The following is a 20,589-nucleotide window of genomic DNA, read 5'->3' as shown; positions in this document are numbered from 1 at the left end:
GCCAGATATGCCAATTGTGTTTAAATTGAGGACCTACACTGTGGAATTTTTTTTTTTTTTTTGAGATGGAGTCTCACTCTATTGCCCAGGCTGGAGTGCAGTGGTGCGATCTCGGCTCACTGCAAGCTCCACCTCCTGGGTTCACACCATTCTCCTGCCTCAGCCTCCCGAGTAGCTGGAACTACAGCCACCTGCCACCATGCCCGGCTAATTTTTGTATTTTTAGTAGAGACGGGGTTTCACCATGTTGGCCAGGATGGTCTCAATCTCTTGACCTCATGATCCACCCTCCTCGGCCTCCCAAAGTACACTGTGGAATTTTAACAAAACAGAAAAGTTTTGTGATTATGAAAGTACTAAGTGTACATTATTTAAAACTTGAAAAGTTAAAGAAGTAGAAAGCTATCTTCCATGTACAGGCAACCATTGTCTCATCTTAACCATTGTTAAGATGAAAATAGATGTTTTGAGGAAAACACAGTTTCAGGTGCAAGCATATCTACCTTTTATCTAGATTTTACAAGTGCCTGCTATAACCATTTTTTAAACATTCAGGAAGGTAATTTTCTTATTTCCCCTATTAGGTTGTTTATGAGTGTGTTTGTGCTTTGCTCATTCCGATTCTCACACAAGCTTTGAAAAGCTCAATAATCTGTGAAACTATCTTGGCTGAACTGGACTTCAGACCCAGAGGTGCCACATGTCCTAGGAGTAGACAAGCCTCTTAAACTTCCCTAGAGGGATAGGAGAACTTTACAATTGTCTTAAAGCACTCTCAGGGGATAACCCCTTATTTGCATGAGGCCCAGGAATCCCAACTGGAAAGAATATGCGACCCTTCCTCAGCTGGTGTTGAAAAACATAGATGTGCCCTGATGCCTGGGAAAAAGTCTAGCAACACGGACCAGATTGAATGTAGGGAAGCAGTGGCTCCAAGTTAAACACGAGCCTGTGCCTGCCCAGTGTCTTGGCTGCATTTACTAAGCTCCTAGGTTGTGCCAACTGAGGAGACAAAGACAACTTCTTGCTTCCCACTCTCTAATGCAGCCAATGGGAGAGGCAATTGGCTGTTCATTTTGCACACCAAATTCCTGGAGAAAGATTTTCTTCAATAAGTGCAAAAGAATATTGTTTATCATGGTGAAGATAAATGCACAAGGCTGCATAATTTTTCACAGTTGATTAAGAGACATGTTGAATTAAATGTTTGGAATCATTTCTGTTCTATTATGAAAATTATTTGTTGGCTACTACTTGTTTCCTTTTCTAATCCACAGTTTATATAATTGACTCTGAATATTAAGCAGTGATTGAAATGGGTTGCTTCAGAACAGATGGTTTCCTGCTATTATATAGAAAGTGCTTTCTGAAATCCCCTGCCTTAGGAGCTGTGATGCCCTGCATCTGAACAGTAGCCTACACTACCTTGACGTTGGCTGCAATAAAATAACTCATGATGGGATGGTGTATTTTGCTGTCATACTGAAAAGCAATACTACCCTGGAAATAATAGATGTCTTTTAACAGAATAGAAAATGTAGGCACTATCTCAGTGAAACTCTTACTTCACACATGAGGAGTCTTAAAGTGTTGTCAGCAGTCAGCAAAAACATGGATGGAGAACTTGTTGCACTTTAACAATCAATGAAAACAAATTCCACATTCTCTGTATTAGTTCGTTTTCATGCTGCTGATAAATACACAAATGAGACTGGATAATTTATAAAGGAAAAGGAGTTTAATGAATTCACAGTCCATGTGGCTAGGGAGGCCTCACAATCATGGTGGAAGGCAAAAGGCACATCTTACATGGTGGCAGGCAAGAGAGAAAATGAGATCCAAGTGAAAACGGAAACCCCTTATAAAACCATCAGATCTCATGAGACTTATTCACTGCCATGAGAACAGTTTGGGGGAAACCACCCTCATGATTTAATTATCTCCCACCGGGTCCCTCCCACAACATGTGAAAATTATGGGAGCTACAATTTATGATGAGATTTGGTTGGGGACACAGCCAAACCATATCATTCTCTAATATCTACCTTTGGGGAAAAAAACACATTTGTTAGGGCTATATGCATGGCATATTCAGACTTAATTCAAATGGGGCGTCTAAAAACAGACAATGTGGATGTGGAGCCATTTGTGGTGACAAACGCATGTGTCTTACAGAAGTCTCCAATGGCCTTAAAAGGCATTATTACTGGACACCAACCTAGGGAGAAGCTTACGACCATTCATTTCATGTAGGTTTTGCTCTTGTTCCAGTAGGTCAACATCTATGGAAAAGAAGCTCTAAAGTAATGTTCATGCATTTGTCTTACTACTTTCACAGAGATTAATATTTTATAGGCTATTCAACTTTTCTTTTATAAATTAAAAATAAAATAAAAGTTTTTCTGTAACAAGTAACCAAAAAAAGCTCAACTTAAAATGGCCTACAAAAAAAGGGGAATTCAGTAAATGAAAAGTCCAGGGACACAGCAGGTGCACTAGCTTGCTAGGGCTGCTGTAACAAATTACCAAAACCTTGGTGGCTTAAAACAATAGCAATGTGTGCTGTCACAGTTCTGGAGGCCAGATGTCTGAAGTCAAGGTACTGGCAGGGTAGTGCTCCCTCTGGAGGCTCTGAAGGAATTTGCCTGTTTAGCTTCTGCTCAACATTTGAGTTCATTGGAACCAAAATTGGAGTGTTTGTGGCTGTGTCCCAAACTCTGTCTCCATCTTCACATTGCCTTTCTGTCTGTCTGTGTGTAATCTCTGGCTTATAAGGAAGCATGGGATTGCATTTAGGGCTTGGATAATCCAGGATAAGCTCCTCCCCACAAGACCATCAACTCAATCCCATCTTTTGCCGTATAATATTCACTTTTTCTATTTAAGGTAACATTTGTAAGTTCCAGGGATTAGGATGTAGACCTATCTTTGTGGCCACCATTCAGCTCACTGCAGCTGGCTTGAGACATGCTGGATCAGACCCAAATTATGTCATCAGCACTTTGTTTCACATTATTTTTCAACTATCTTCTGGTGTGTGGCTTTGAGTTCAGTCTCCATTTATTGTACAGTGGTGGCAACGGCTCTAGATTTTATATACTCTCAGCTTCAAATCTGGTTGAAGCAAATCTTCTCTCCCAGATGCCTCAGTGAGAGTTTCATGGGGCTTCCTTACATCTCAGGAGTCACCCATCTGTTCCCAAACTGATCCCAGTAGCCGGGGGAATCTAAGGTTGTGATTGACATGGCCTGAGTCATATGATCGTGACATCAGCTCTTCTTCATCATCTAATCACATGGACTGGGAGTGGGGGAGGTGTGTGGGTTGTTACTACAAGAAAGGGAAGTGGATGCCGGGTGACAAGATAAAGAAACAAAAACAAATTGAAACAACAAACCCACAAATGTCCACAACATCAGCCTTGTTGATAAGATGCTTTAATAAGGCTCCTGCTCATACAGAAGAAGGAAGCAACTCTATGTAATGCAGGATTGCAGTGGGAAGAGGGTATCTGGTGAGTGGGGCAGGAGGAGAGACTTACTTGAGAAGGGTTTAATTGAGATTTTGTAAAGCTGTGTTCCATGTGAGATGACCCTTCCATGGGCTTCCGTGAATATTAAATAAAATCTAGAAAAATTACAATATGCTTAATTAAACAAATTAATTTCTCATTAAAATAATGAAGGGGTTGAATTTGCATCAAGTTTGGGGGTTGGCCAAAATAGAGTCAGCTCTTGTAGATGAAGCTGGGAGTGCAGACCTGGGTTACATGTAAAATAGAGCCAATGCTCTCTCTTCATAGGGTTGTGAGGGGTCAATTGAGATCAAGGGTATGAAAATGCTTTGTAAACCGTAAAGGGATACACTCCTAGGAGTTACACTTGAGTTGTTTTCATGACTTTCCTCTTAAGTTCATATTCATGTAGGCCTATTAGTTTCCCTCTGACCATCCCCAGACACTGTTGGCCATCAGGAATCAGTCAAGAATGTGGATAAATCTCCTGCAATCCATCTTTCCACCAAGAAATACCTCAGAGCACATCCCTGCTGATGGTAAGGCATCATAGCGAACAACCTGCCAGCTATGATGTATTAGGTAGACAGCAGTTTCAGAGCTTTAGTCAAGCTTCAGTAAATCAGACAAAAGTTGACTTCTTATATTATTTTATGTCAGGGCCTTTTACCTGGGACACATTGATAGGCGTGATTGCATCTGTTTAATCTTCTGAAATAGTATGCAAAATGTGTGTGTGTGTGTGTGTGTGTGTGTGTGTGTGTGTGTGTATCCATGACATGCTTCTTGCATCGTCCTGGGAAGAGGGTCCATGATTTTCCACAAATTCTCAAGGGAATCATGACCCCACCAAAGGTTAAGTGCTACTGACCCATAGTGTTTCCAGTGGGACTTTGTTGAAAGGTGAATGAAGAAATGTGAGAATTCTAATCCCACTCAGTTGTCAGCTTACTTCTACCATCTCTTTTCTGAGGCTCTGTGGTGCTGCTCTGATACAACATCTTAGGAAAAAGCAAAACATGTTGTGTGCGTGTGTTTGTATGTGTGTGTGTGTGCGCGCGGTACTTGTTCTTTCTTTTTTTAAAAAAGACTTATTTTGTGTTTATGTTTTTAATTAGAAAGATAATCATGCTACTTTTAGAAAAATTAGAAACTAAAGAAAAATAGAACGTGGTTTCTGCAAAGATCATTCAAAAACCTCATGAAAAAGTTGGCTGGCAGCATAGCCTAGTGAGTGTCAGATACAGCTGAGTTAGTGTTCCATGAAATTTTGGGAATGATGCTTAATCTCTGTGAGTCTGTCTTCTCATTAATAGCATTGAAATAATCATTGTATTTACTTCATAGGGTTCTTGTGGATTAAATGAGAAAATGAACGTACAGTGCATGCCTGACATTCAGTAAGTGCTTAATACATGATAGTGTTTGGTCATGACTATTGTTCTCTTTCCAATTGTGTTTGCATCCTTGAGATACTGTGTTTATGATTTTGTATCCTGCTTTTTTCTCTTTTCACTGTACTAATTCCCCATGTTATGTTGTACTTTTTATTAGCATTAGTTTCAATGGCTACATTATATGAAACACAGCAGATACACTCAAATTTACTGGACCATTCTCCTGTTGTTAGATATTGAGTGTTTTCAATTTTTAACTACAGTCATGTGCTGCATACCACATTTTTGTCAATGAGGGATTGCATATATGACAGCGGTCCAATAAGGTTATAATGGAGCTGAAAAATTCCTATCACCTAGTGACCTCATAGCCTTCTTAGTGTCAAAGCATAATGCATTACTCCTATGTTTGCGGTGATGCTGGTGTAAACAAACCTACTATGCTGCCAGCCATATGAAGCATAGCATATACTATTATGTACAGTACATAATACTTGATAATGATAATAAATGACTATGTTGCTGGTTCATGTATTTACTATGCTTTTTATGGTTATTTTATTTTTCTTTTCTTTTTTTTCTGAGACAGGGTCTCACTCTGTCACCCAGGCTGGAGTGCAGTGGCACAATCATAGCTCACTGCAGCGTCTACTTCCTGGGCTCAAACTATCCTCCTATCTCAGCCTCCCAAGTAGATGGGACCACAGGTGCGGGCTACCATGCCCAGCTAATTTTTTTTTTTTTTGGTAGGGATGGAGGTCTTGCTATGTTGCCCAGCTGGTCTTGAACTCTTGGGTTCAAGTGATCCTTCTGCCTCAGGCTCCCAAAGTGTTGGGATTAAAAGTGTGAGCCACTGTGCCTGGCCTTTTAAAAAGTCCTAAACACTAGACTACCAGGGATATTTTTATTTTTGAGTATATTCCTTCTAAGAAAAAAGTTAACTGTAAAATAGCCTAAGGCAGCTCCTTCAGGAGGTACTCAGAAAAAGGTATTGTTATCATAGAAGATGACTACAGCTCCTTGTGTGTTATTTACCTCAAAGACTTCCAGTGGGATAAGATGTGGAAATGGAAGACAGTGATAGTGATGATCCCAACCATGTGTAGGCCTGGCTAATGTGTGTGTTTGTTTGTGTCTTTGTTTTCAACAAAAAAATTTAAAAGTAAAAAATAAAATGTAAAAATAGAAACAAGCTTATAGAATAATAATATAAAAGAAGAAAATATTTTTGTTCCATTGTATAATGAGTTTATCTTTCAAGCTAAGTGTTATTACAAAATAGTCAAAAAGTTAAAAAATTTAAGTTTATAAAGTAAAAAAGTTACAATAAGTTAAGGTTAATTTATTATTATTGAAGATGGAATTTTTTTTTAATATTTAGTGTAGCCTAAGTGCAGAGTGTTATAAAAAGTCTATGGTAATCTACAGTAGTGTCCTAGGCCTTCACATCCAGTTGCCACTCACTGAGTTGCTCAAAGCAGCTTCCCCTCTTGCAAGCTCCATTCATGGTAAGTGCCCTATATAAGTGTACTCTTATAGAAAATTTATGTATTAAAAAGAAAACTTTTATACTGTACTTTTACCATACTTTTTCTTTTTTTTTTTTTTTTGAGATGAAGTCTTGCTCTTGTTGCCCAGGCTGGAGTGCAGTGGCATGATCTCGGTTCACTGCAGCCTCCGCTTCCCAGGTTCAAGTGATTCTCCTGCCTTAGCCTCCCGAGTAGCTGGGATTACAGGTGCCTGCCACATGGCTGGCTAATTTTTGTATTTTTAGTAGAGATGGGGTTTCACCATGCTGGCCAAGCTGGTCTCAAACTCCTGAATTTAGGCAATCTGCCCACCTCGGCCTCCCAAAGTGCTGGAATTACAGGCATGAGCCATCGCGCCTGGCTACTGTATTTTTTCTATGTTTAAATATATAAATATTTGCCATTGTGTTACAGTTGCCTACAGTATTCAGTACAGTAACATGCTGTACAGGTTTGTAGCCCAGGAGCATTAGGCTATACCAAACAGGCTAGCTGTGTAGTAGGCTATACCATCTAAGTTTGTGTAAGTACCCTCTATGATGTTTGCACAATGATGAAACTGCCTAATGATGAATTTCTCAGAAAATATTCCCGTTGTTAAACGACACATGACTGTACTATAAATGAATGATGTCATACACAACTTTGGATTTGTTGGTTTGTTAGAACTCAGATTAGATAATCTCATTAATATATTTTAGGCAAATATGCTTTAGGACCCCATCTGTTTATGCAGAGCAATGGGGGATTTTTGTGGATATATGTGATTGCTTGAAGATAGTTGAAAGACTAGAAGATGGAAAACCACTGTGAATTTTACTTGTAACTACTCCTTTTGGCTACTGGAAACTCCCAATTCTGATAGTTTCAACTGAAAGCAACAGGAGGAAAAAACAAAATAAAACATAAGAGAGACCCAGAAGAGGGGCACCTTGGTTATAGAAGGATAAGCATTTGCCAGGTGAAACAGACAGCCCCAAATAATAGTGGCTTCAATAAGTTAGTTTACTTTTTGTCTCCTGTAACTGTTCCAGTGTAATAGTCCAGCACTTGTTTGGTGGCCTCAGGGACCAGGCTCCTTTCATTTTGTCCTCATCGACATAGTCCAGGATGGCTCACTCATCTGGCTGGTGGGAAGGGGAAAATGAGAAAGAAGACAGTTATAGGCCGGGCGCGGTGGCTCATGCCTGTAATCCCAGCACTTTGGGAGGCCGAGGCAGGCAGATCACTTGAGGTCAGGAGTTCGAGACCAGCCTGGCCAACATGGCGAAACCCCATCTCTACTAAAAATACAAAAATTATCTGGGCGTGGTAGCATGCACCTGTAATCCCAGCTACTCAGGAGGTTGAGGCAGGAGAATTGCTTCAACCCCAGAGGCAGTGAGCCAAGATGGTGCCACTGCACTGCAGCCTGGGCGACAGAACAAGACTCCATCTCAAAAAAAAAAAAAAAAAAAAAAAAGACAATTGTCTGCTCTTCAGGAAGTTGTAGGCATCTGTATTAAGCTGTTCTTGCCTTACTATAAGGAAATACCTGAGACCGGGTAACTTATAAGAAAAGAGGTTTAATTGGCTCTTGGTTCTGCAGTCTGTACAGGAAGCCTAGCGCTGGCATCCGCTTTGGGGGAGGCCTCAGGAAATTTACAATCATGGTGGAAGTTGAAGAAGGACCAGGTATCTCACACGATGGGGGCAAGAGAGAGAGAGGGTGGTGGGGGAAGGTGCCACATGCTTAAACAACCAGATCTGTGAGAACTCACTGACTATCTCAAGGACAGCACTAAGCCATGAGGGATCCACCCCCCTGACCCAAACACCTCCCACCAGGCTCCACTTCCAACCTTGTGGATTACAGTTCTGCATGAGACTTGGTGGGGACATATATTCAAACTACATTAGCTCCACTTCAGCTCAAATTACATTGGTTACAAAATGGTCCTATGGCCACACCAAGCTGCATGGGAGACTGGGAAATGTAGCTTTATCAGGGGTTCTAGTTCCATAGGAGAAGAGAACAGATACTGAAGCATGACTAGCTGTCTCTGCCACATGGGGGTTTTAATACAAAAAGTGAACCTGCAAAGATCCAAGGTGGTGGATGAAGGAGATGTGAGAGAGAGAAAGGACGGCTTCTAGAGCAGTGCAAGTGTCTGGAGTGTGCATCGCATTTGCCTGGGTATCACCCTTCCTCCATCTTACTTTGGCTCAGTTCTGTTCCAAACTAGATACTTGCCCCCAGTTCCGCCTGTGCTTTCTTGCCTACTTGTTGGTATCATTCCTCTACCCACTACGCCCTTCTGTTTTGATGTCTTTTTCATTCAACAAGAATTTGGGGCCAGGTACAGTGGTTCACATCTGTAATTCCAGGACTTTGGAAGGCTGTTGAGGGAGCATTGCTTGAGCTCAGGAGCTCCAGACCAACCTAGGTCCTCCCTTTTCTCTCTACAAGAAAAGAGAAAAATTAGCTGGAGGCAGTGGCATGCACCTGTAGTCCCAACTATTTAGGAGGCTGAGGCAGGAGGATCCCTTGAGCCTAGGAGGTCAAGGCTACAGTGAGCCGTGATTGTGCCTTTGCACTCCAGCCTGGGTGACAGAGTGAGACCCTGTCTTCCCTGCCCCAAAAAACTAGGAAAGTGCAGGAGATGCTAAGTTACACCCTTATCGAGGAGCTTACAGTCTGGTGGCTGAGACAGACACATAGACAATGAAGTACAATTAGGATGGCTCATACTCTGATGGAAGCCTGTGCAGAGTATTGTGGGGGCTCCAGGGAAAGTGGGTCCTTTTCTAAGTAGGATGAAATTGAAGAATGATGTAGAAAGGTTTCATAGAGAGGTGGTATTAGTACGAAAACTGGATCTTGAAGAGTGAGAACGTGCTCGTCACACTGCTAGGGCATAGTGAGGGGAAGAAACAGAATGAAGCATAGAAAAGCATCCTCCCTGTGTGTGACAGTTAGAAGATAATAGAAGACCAATTTAACTCGGCTTGTGCATAAAGAGTGAATTTATTGGATCCTATAACTCAAAAATCAGAGAGGGTGGGAAATACAGATTCAGCTGGATTCAAGCATTCCATGGATGTTGTTTGGCCCAAATTTCTTGCCTTCTCTTAACACTACTTTCTACTCTGTTGACTTCATTTAGGCATGTTCTTCCCAGGAGGTAGTGGGGATGGCCACAAACACTCAATATTAAATGTAGGCTCTGAGATGCCCCAGCAGAATGATAGTTTATTTTCTTCTAATGGTTCAGGTTAAAGCTTCTAGTTATCTCTGATTGAACTGACTTGAATCCTATGCCCAGTCCTGAAAGTGAGTATGGCCAGGCAGCCCTAAGCAAACCACAGAAACTGAAGGTGCATTGGCTGCTGTTTCCTGAAGGGAAATGGGTGATATCTGCAGAAGAAGGAAAAGCAGATGTTGGGCAGGCAAGAACGACAGATGAACATGACAGTCTGCTTAGGGAGCTTCTAGTAATCCAGGATGGATAGAGCAAGAGACCAGGTGATGAGAGCTTTGGATGCTACTGGGCAGAGTGTGGACTTTATTTGGTGGGCAAGAGGGTGCCACTGGAGGGTTTAAATCAGGAATAACATGGTTCTTTGACATATTATTACTAATTGAAGTCCACACGAGGCTTCACTGTATATGTTGTACATTCTATGGGTTTTGAAAAATGGGTAACAGCATGTATCCACCCTTATACTTCATACAGAATAGTTTAACTGGCTGGGCATGGTGGACCATGCCTGTAATCCCAGCACTTTGGGAGGCCAAGGGGGGTGGGTCACATGAGGTCAGGAGTTTGAGGCCAGCCTGGCCAACATGGCAAAACCCCATCTCTACTAAAAATACAAAAATTAGCTGGGTGTGGTGGCATGTGCCTGTAATCCCAGCTACTCAAGAGGCTGAGTTAGGAGAGTGGCTTGAACCCAGGAGGCGGAGATGGCAGTGAGTTGAGATCATGCCATTGCACTCCAGCCTGCGAGACAGAGTGAGACTCCGTCTCAAAAAAAAAAAAAAAAAAAGTTTGACTGCCCTAAAAATCCCTTGTTCTCTACCTAGTTATTCCATCCCCTCAAGCCCTCGGCAACCAATGGTCTTTTTGCTCTCTCCCAAGTTTTTGCCTTTACCAGAATGACATATAGTTGGAATAATACAGTATGTAGCCTTTTCAGATTGGCTTCTTTCACTCAGTAATATGCATTTAAGTTTCCTTCGTGTCTTTTTATGGCTTGAGAGATCATTTCTTTTTATCGCTGAGAAATATTCCACTATATGGATGTATCACAGTTTGTTTATGCATTCTTCTATTGAAGGACATCTTAGTTGTTTCCACATGTTGGCAATTATGGATAAAGCTGCTACATATGTGCATGTGCAGGTTTTTGGGTCGAAATAAGCTTTCAACTCCTTTGAGTAAATACCAAGGAGTAGTGCTGGGTCAAGCATGGTCCTTTGCATAACCCTCTTTTATTTGCAATATACTTTCACATTCATTAATTTACCCAATTTTCACAGGAGCTCTCTGAGTTAAGTGAAGCATGTGTTTTTATTCCTACATAACAGGTGGGAAACTGAGGATCCAAGAATTTAAGTAAGACATACAAATTCACATAGTTGGTGAGTGTGTAACCACAACACTTAATCCAGCCTCTTCATACAGCCTGAAGTTTACAATAAAGCAATTAGCTGTAGCCAGAATAATTCTCATGATCTCATCCTACACCTCTCAAACAATGAGACCAGGCCAGTCTTAGAAAAATGGGGAAGTAGCAAGGTCCTTTCACTGTCTTCCTGGGTCCACACCCAGAGTCTGTCTTTCAGACGTCCTCTGGCTTTTTCTCCAGGATCAAAAGCACCCTCACTACTACCCTGGAGACTGCCCAGAAACAGGCCAGATAACTCGATGAAGTCATTCGAGTAATTGTTATTATTAATGACTCAGAGTGCTGCCCCTCCCAGATGAAATATGCATTTCATAGTAGTTTAAAGACTTATCTCAAAAGAGTGAAAAAATGTGGCAATTTTTAGCACCCTGGCAGGACTTGGAGGGTGGAGACAGATGAAGTGAGGTCTCTCAGTGCTCCTGAAATTATACCTCATATTTGGTTCAAACAATATGTCATACCTATAGGTAACGGGTATGATGGGTTAACTTCCTGACATTGCCATGGCATTTATTCTTTCATTTCATTCCAAGTTGCAGAAATTACCCCCAGAGAATTAGAAGAAGGTATCAATGGGCAAAATGACTTAAGTACAGTTACATTTCCTTTCAGTACCTAGGCCTTAATTTCCCCTTCAGTTATATATATATATGCACATATTTTAAATGAAAGCAAGTTTATTAAGAAAGCAAAGGAATAAAGAATGGCTACTCCATAGGTAGAGCAGTGACATGGGCTGCTCAATTGTGTATACTTATAGTTACTTTTTTTTTTTTTGGAAACATAAAATTTTATTAAAAACATATAACAAACAAAAATTACTAAAGGAAAGCCATAGGACTTGTTGCTGAGACATAGTGAGAAAAATGGTTGTTAGTCAGAAAAATTATTGTTGAATGAGGTGTGAACAATCTCTTTTCTTTTTCATTATACTTTAAGTTCTAGGGTACATGTACACAACATGCAGGTTTTTTACATAGGTATACATGTGCCATGTTGGTTTGCTGCACACATCAACTTGTCAATTACATTAGGTATTTCCTTGAATGCTATCCCTCCCCCAGCCCCTCACGCCCCAACAGGCGCTGGTGTGTGATGATCCCTGCCCTGTGTCCATGTGTTCTTGTTGTTCAACTCCCACCTATGAGTGAGAACATGCGGTGTTTGGTTTTCTGTCCTTGTGATAGTTTGCTTAGAATGATGGTTTCCAGCTTCATCCATGTCCTTGCAAAGGATATGAACTCACCCTTTTTTATGGCTGCATAGTATTCCATGGTATATATGTGCCAGGTTTTCTTAATTCAGTTTATCATTGATGGACATTTGGGTTGGTTCCAAGTCTTTGCTATTTTGAATAGTGCTGTAATAAACATACGTGTGCATGTGTCTTTATCGTAGAAAGATTTATAATACTTTGGGTATATACCCAGTAATGGAATCACTGGGTCAAATGGTATTTCTAGTTCTAGATCCTTGAGGAATCACCACACTGTCTTCCACAGTGGTTGAACTAATTAACACTTCCACCAACAGTGTATTTCTCCACATCCTCTCCAGCATCTGTTGTTTCCTGACTTTTTAATGATTGCCATTCTAACTGGTGTGAGATGGTATCTCATTGTGGTTTTGATTTGCATTTCTCTGATGACCAGTGATGATGGGCATTTTTTCATATGTCTGTTGGCTGCATAAATGTCTTCTTTTGAGAAGTATCTGTTCATATCCTTTGCCCACTTTTTGATGGGGTTGTTTGTTTTTTTTCTTGTAAATTTATTTAAGTTCTTTGTAGATTCTGGATATTACCTCTTTGTCAGATGGGTAGATTGCAAAAATTTTCTCCCATTCTGTAGGCTGCCTCTTCACTCTGATGGTAGTTTCTTTTGCTGTGCAGAAGCTCTTTAGTTTAATTAGATCCCATTTGTCTATTTTGGCTTTTGTTGCCATTGCTCTTGGTGCTTTAGTCATGAAGTCTTTGCCCATGCCTATGTCCTGAATGGTATTGCCTAGGTTTTCTTCTAGGGTTTTCATGGTGTTAGGTCTCACATTTAAGTCTTTAATCCATCTTGAGTTAATTTTTGTATATGGTGTAAGGAAGGGATCCAGTTTCAGCTTTCTACATATGGCTAGCCAGTTTTCCCAGCACCTTTTATTAAATAGGGAATCCTTTCCCCATTGCTTGTTTTTGTCAGGTTTGTCAAAGATCAGATGGTTGTAGATGTGTGGTGTTATTTCTGAGGGCTCTGTTCTGTTCCATTGATCTATATACCTGTTTTGGTACCAGTACCATGCTGTTTTGGTTACTGTAGCCTTGTAGTATAGCTTAAAGCTAGGTAGCATGATGCCTCCAGCTTTGTTCTTTAGGCTTAGGATTGTCTTGGCAATTGCAGGCTCTTTTTTGGTTCCATATGAACTTTAAAGTAGTTTTTTCCAATTCTGTGAAGAAAGTCATTGGTAGCTTCATGGGGATAGCATTGAATCTATAAATTACCTTGGGCAGTGTGGCCATTTTCATGATATTGATTCTTCCTATCCATGAGGATGGAATGTTCTTCCGTTTGTTTGTGTCCTCTTTTATTTCATTGAGCAGTGGTTTGTAGTTCTCCTTGAAGAGGTCCTTCACATCCCTTGTAAGTTGGATTCCTAGATATTTTATTCTCTTTGTAGTAATTGCTAATGGGAGTTCACTCATGATTTGTCTCTCTGTTTTTCTATTATTGGTGTATAGGAATGCTTGTGATTTTTGCACATTGATTTTGTATCCTGAGACTTTGCTGAAGTTGATCCTCAGCTTAAGGAGATTTTGGGCTGAGCCGATGGGGTTTTCTAAATATACAACCATGTATCTGCAAACAGGGACAATTTGACTTCCTCTTTTCCTAATTGAATACCCTTTATTTCTTTCTCTTGCTTGATTGCCCTAGCCAGAACTTCCAACACTATGTTGAATAGAAGTGGTGAGAGAGGGCATCCTTGTCTTGTGCCAGTTTTCAAAGGGAATGCTTCCAGTTTTTGTTCATTCGGTATGATATTGGCTGTGGGTTTGTCATAAATAGCTGTCATTATTTTGAGATATGTCCCATCAATACCTAGTTTATTGACAGTTCTTTGCATGAAGGGCTATTGAATTTTGTCAAAGGCCTTTTCTGCATCTATTGAGATAATCATGCGGTTTTTGTCATTGGTTCGGTTTATGTGATGGATTATGTTTATTGATTTGCATACATTGAACCAGCTTTGCCTCCCAGGGATGAAGCCGAGCTGATTGTGGTGGATAAGCTTTTTGATGTGCTGCTGGATTCAGTTTGCCAGTATTTTATTGAGGATTTTTGCATCGATGTTCATCAGGGATATTGGTCTAAAATTCTCTTTTTTTGTTGTGTCTCTATCAGGCTTTGGTATCAGGATGATGTTGGCCTCATAAAATGAGTTAGGGAGGATTCCCTCTTTTTCTATTAATTGAAATAGTTTCAGAAGGAATGGTACCAGCTCCTCTTTGTACTTCTGGTAGAATTTGGTTGTGAATCCATCTGGTCCTGGACTTTTTTTGGGTGGTAGGCTATTCATTATTGACTCAATTTCAGAACCTGTTATTGATCTATTCAGAGATTCAGCTTCTTCCTGATTTAGTCTTGGGAGGGTGTATGTGTCCAGAATTTATCCATTTCTTCTAGATTTTCTAGTTTATTTGTGTAGAGGTGTTTATAGTATTCTCTGATGGGAGTTTGTATTTCTGTGGTATTGGTGGTGATATCCCCTTTATCATTTTTTATTGCGTCTATTTGATTCTTCTCTCCTTTCTTCTTTATTAGTCTTGCTAGCGGTCTATCAGTTTTGTTGATCTTTTCAAAAAACCAGCTCCTGGATTCACTGATTTTTTGAAGGGATTTTTGTGTCTCTATCTCCTTCAATTCTTCTCTGATCTTATTTATTTCTTGCTTTTTGCTAGCTTTTGAATGTGTTTGCTCTTGCTTCTTTAGTTCTTTTAATTGTGATGTTAGGGTGTCAATTTTAGACCTTTCCTGCTTTCTCTTGTGGGTATTTTGTGCTATAAATTTCCCTCTATACACTGCTTTAAATGTGTCCCAGAGATTCTGGTACATTGTGTCTTTGTTCTCATTGGTTTCAAAGAACATCTTTATTTCTGCCTTCATTTCATTATTTACCCAGTAGTCAGTCATTCAGGAGTGGTCGTTCAGTTTCCATGTAGTTGTGCAGTTTTGAGTGAGTTTATTAATCCTGAGTTCTAATTTGATTGCACTGTGGTCTGAGAGAGTTTGTTGTTATTTCTGTTCTTTTCCATTTGCTGAGGAGTGTTTTACTACCAAGTATGTGGTCAGTTCTAGAATAAGTGTGATGTGGTGCTGAGAAGAGTGTATATTCTTTTGATTTGAGGTGGATAGTTCTGTAGATGTCTATTAGGTCTGCTTGGTGCAGAGCTGAGTTCAAGTCCTGGATATCCTTGTTAACCTTCTGTCTTGTTGATCTGTCTAATATTGACAGTGGGGTATTAAAGTCTGCCATTATTATTGTGTGGGAGTCTAAGTCTCTTGTAGGTTTCTAAGGCCTTGCTTTATGAATCTGGGTGGTCCTGTATTGGGTGCATATATATTTAGGATAGTTAGCTCTTCTTGTTGAATTGATCCCTTTACCATTATGTAGTGGCCTGGCCTTCTTTGTCTCTTCTTATCTTTGTTGGTTTAAAGTCTGTTTGATGAGAGACTAGGATTGCAATCCTTGCTTTTTTTTTGCTTTCCACTTGCTTGGTAGCTCTTCCTTCATCCCTTTATTTTGAGCCTATGTGCGTCTTTGCACATGAAATGGGTCTCCTGAATACAGCACACCAATGGGTCTTGACTCTTTATCCAATTTGCCAGTCTGTGTCTTTTAACTGGAGCATTTAGCCCTTTTATGTTTAAGGATAATATTGTTATGTTTGAATTTGATCTTGTCATTTTGATGTTAGCTGGTTATTTTGCCCATTTATCGATGCAGTTTCTTCATAGTGTTGATGGTCTTTACAATTTGGCATGTTTTTGCAGTGGCTGGTACAGTTGTTCCTTTCCATGTTTAGCGCTTCCTTCAGGAGCTCTTGTAGGGCAGGCATGGTGGTGACAAAATCTCTCAGCATTTGCTTGTCTGTAAAGGATTTTATTTGTCCTTCACTTATGAAGTTTAATTTGGCTGGATATGAGATTTGGGGTTGAAAATTCTTTTCTTCAAGAATGTTCAATGTTGGCCCCCACTCTCTTCTGGCTTGTAGGGTTTCTGCCATGAGATCCGCTGTTAGTCCGATGGGCTTGCCTCTGTGGTTAACCTGACCTTCCTCTCTGGCTGCCCTTAACATTTTTTCCTGCCTTTCAACCTTAGTGAATCTGACAGTTATGTGTGTTGGGGTTGGTCTTCTCGAGGAGTGTCTCTGTGGTGTTCTCTGTCATTCCTGAATTTGAATGTTGGCCTGCCTTGCTAGGTTAGGGAAGTTTTCCTGGATAATACCCTGAAGAGTGTTTTCTAACTTGGTTCCATTCTCCCAGTCACTTTCAGGTACACCAATCAAACGTATGTTTGGTCTTTTCACATGGTCCCATATTTCTTGGAGGCTTTGTTCATTTCTTTTTACTCTTTTTTCTCTAATCTTGTCTTCTCGCTTTATTTCATTAATTTGATCTTCAATCACTGATATCCTTTCTTCCACTTGATCAAATCAGCTATTGAAGCTTGTGCATGCATCACGTAGTTCTCATGCCATGGTTTTCAGCTCCATCAGGTCATTTAAGGTCTTCTGTACATTGTTTATTCAGTTAGCCATTCGTCTAACCTTTTTTCAAGGTTTTTAGCTTCCTCGCGATGGGTTAGAACATGATCCTTTAGCTTGGAGAAGTTTGTTATTACTGAGCTTCTGAAGCCTACTTCTGTCAACTTGTCAAACTCATTCTCCATCCAGTTCTGTTCCCTTGCTGGTGAGGAGCTGTGATCCTTTGGAGGAGATCTGTTTTTTGGAATTTTCAGCTTTTCTGCTCTGGTTTCTCCCCATCTTTGTGGTTTTATCTACCTTTGGTCTTTGATGTTGCTCACCTACAGATGGGGTTTTGGTGTGGATGTCCTTTCTGTTGATGTTGATGCTATTCCTTTCTGTTTGTTAGTTTTCCTTCTAACAGTCAACCCCCTGAGCTGCAGGTCTGTTGGAGTTTGCTGGAGGTCCACTCCAGACCCTGTTTCCCTGGGTATCACCAGCGGAGGCTGCAGAACAGCAAATATTGCTGCCTGATCCTTCCTCTGGAGGCTTTGTCCCAGAGGGGCACCCGCCTGTTTGAGGAGTCTGTTGGCCCCTACTGGGAGGTGTTTCCCAGTCAGGCTACATGGGGGTCAGGGACTTGCTTGAGGAGGCAGTCTGTCTGTTCTTGGAGCTTGAATGCCCTGCCGAGAGAACCACTGCTCTCTTCAGATGCGTCAGACACGGACATTTAAGTCTGCAGAAGCTTTTTATTCTACTATGCCCTGCCCCCAGAGGTGGAATCTATAGAGGTGGTAGGCCTTGCTGAGCTGTGGTGGGCCCCGCCCAGTTCACGCTTCCCGCCTCTTTGTTTACACTGTGAGTTACTCAAGCCTCAGCAATGGTGGACGCCCCTTCTCCTGCCAATCTGCAGTGTCGTAGGTTGATCTCAGACTGCTGTGCTAGCAGTGAGCAAGGCTCCGTGGGTGTGGGACCCATCAAACCAGGCACGGGAAGGTATCTCCTGGTCTTCCGGTTGCTAAGACTGCAGGGAAAGCACAGTATTTGGTCAGAAGTGTACTGTTTCTCCAGGTACAGTCTGTCACGGCTTCCCTTGGCTAGGAAAGGGAAATCCCCTGACCCTTGCACTTCCTGGGTGAGGTGATGCCCCGCCCTGCTTCGGCTCACCCTCTGTGGGCTGCACCCACTGTCCAACTAATCCCAGTGAGATGAACCAGTTACCTCAGTTGGAAATGCAGAAATCATCCGTCTTCTGTGGATCTTACTGGGAGCTGCACACTGGAGCTGCTCCTATTTGGCCATCTTGGAAGCCAGTTATTTCTTGATTATATACTAAACAAGGTGTGGATTGTTCGTGAGTTTTCCTGGAAAGGGGAGGGCAATTCCAAGAACTGAGGGTTCCTCCACTTTTTAGACCATATAGGGTAACTTCGTGACATTGCCATGGCATTTGTAAGCTGTCATGGCACTATTGAGAGTGTCTAGTGTATAATGAGCAGTGAGGACGACCAGAGGCCATTTTTGTCACCATCTTGGTTTTGGTGGGTTTTAGGCAACTTCTTTACTGCAACCTGTTTTATCAGCAAGGTTTTAGTGACCTCCTGTCTCATCCTGTGACTTAGAATGCCTAAACTTTCTGGGAATGCAGCCCAGTAGGGCTCAGCCTTATTTTACCCAGTTCTATAGTCACTCTGGTTCAAACACCTCTGACATATTTCCCCCCTCCCTGTTACAAGGGAACCCTTAATCCTAAAGGTTCTAGAGGGACAAAGATCCATCTTCTGTAACTTCTTCAAGGCTCCCATCAGTAATCTTTATCACCCTCGTAGGTTTATTACCCTGAGTGAAATATATCACATTTCTTGTTGGGGTAGAGGTGGCATGTCACAAGCATTATAGGAGTATTTTAGTTTCCTCTCTATAATCTCCACACCACTACAAATACACATGTAATCTGAATACAGGCTACTAGCTATCCAAAGGCAGCTTCATGACAAATCTCTTCCAACCGGGTTGCTGCCGCTAAACCGTGTCCTTGTAGAGACTTTATGGCTAACACAGAGAAAGCATTCTAAAAACAGTTTTAGAAAATAAAATAAACATTCCGGCATGAATTTTGACACTATTCCTCAAATGTAGGAAGAGCAGTGCCCTGATTGTTACAATGAGGGGCTGGCCTCTATCCAGCATGCTGTATTTTTATTTTTTACCACAAAATGACTCAAATTCCTTCCTTTTGCCATTAAAATTTTAGTAGTTGACTGGACTTGGGCACCTCTGATCTTGAATAATCTTAGACATCTTACAGTGAATGAAAACATTGCTTGCCTAAATATGATTCCAATATATATATTTTTAAGATTGAGGATTTCTGGGTCACTGTTTTATTTCTTTCCTGAACTGCAGAGAGGCTGTTGGCTACCTCTGTACAGCTTTTGGGTGAGGAGAGTGTAACTTAGAGCCGTACTCAAAAGGAATCATCTTTGGATGTTAATGATTTTCCAAGGGGAGATTTTAATTCAGTTCATTCTGGGTGCCAGTGTCAGGATGAGATTTTCAGGGTTCACCCAGAGCGATCGTTTATAACAATACCAGTAGAGCATTTAAGTCAGTATATCTTTCTATGGCCTTCCATTGCCCTCAAAATAAAATCCAAACTTCTTAACAAGGCTTTAAGGCCCTTTACAATCTATCCCTCTAGCCAATCCAGTGGTCCTCTATCCTTGGGATCCTTGGGAACTTATCACTTCTGTCGAACTTGAGTCTGCAGTGTAACAGTTGCTTACATTCTATCTCCCCCAGTAAGTTGTGAGCACTGGATTCTCATTCCTGAGCACAGGACATGGTGTTCTGTAGCAATCCATAAATATCTGATGAATGAATTAATGAATGAAAAGAATTCAGGCCAGATGCGGTGGCTCATGCCTGTAATCTCAGCACTTTGGGAGACCGAGGCGAAAGCATCACTTGAGGCCAGGAATTTGAGACCAGCCTGGCTAACATGGTGAAATCTCGTCTCTACTACAAATACAAAAATTAGCTGGGTGTGGTGGCACATGCCTGTAATCCCAGCTACTTCTGGAGGCTGAGGCACGAGAATCACTTGAGCCTGGGGGGCAGAGGTTGCAGTGAGCCCAGACTGCACCACTGAACTCCAGCCTGGGTGACAGAGTGAGACTCTGTCTCAAAAAAAAAAAAAAGAAAGAGAAGAATTCATTGATGAACCCACAGTATAGAATGAGCTATGAGTACTTTACTAGACAGTCAGCTTAGGCAAATGTAGTAATATAAGCCTGTGAAGAACATTGGTCTACTATTAACTTGTTTTTCCTCACTGTGAAATCAGTAAGCCCTTCAGTGGAGAGAGGCCAGAAGGATTCATTCTGCCCTGGCTCCATCTACCCTGATAAATTTTCTTTTTTGGCCCTAGCATTGCATTGTCTCAAAGCCTCTTGTCAATGCCTCACTCCTCTGAATCCCATCCTTGTGTGCACTGGAATGGGTTCTTTCCTTTATGAGAATTTTAATAGAAATTGCTAGGACTTCTCAGTCTATCTGAATGAAATTGTACAAAGTTCACAGTCTAAGGATGATCCTATTTCAATAAGCTGGACTCTTGGTGTTTTTAATTTGCTATTGTAAGACCTCTGTGTTGCCTGACCTTGAAGAAGCCTGACTTCCTTTATTGTGCCTTCTGCAGAAAGCAGAGTTCTGCTGCCTTTTCCTGGGGCATATTTTTCTCTGTC

The 20,589-nt window shown here is 41.2% G+C and overlaps 1 pseudogene; it reads left to right on the top strand.

Annotated features, from left to right (window-relative positions):
* Positions 1,390–2,385, top strand: LRRC34P2 (leucine rich repeat containing 34 pseudogene 2; annotated as a pseudogene).

Source organism: Homo sapiens, chromosome 4 (genome assembly GCF_000001405.40).
Source record: "Homo sapiens chromosome 4, GRCh38.p14 Primary Assembly".
Lineage (NCBI taxonomy): Eukaryota > Metazoa > Chordata > Mammalia > Primates > Hominidae > Homo > Homo sapiens.
Note: the sequence above shows the minus strand (reverse complement) of the source record. Positions and strands in the feature narration are given on the sequence as shown.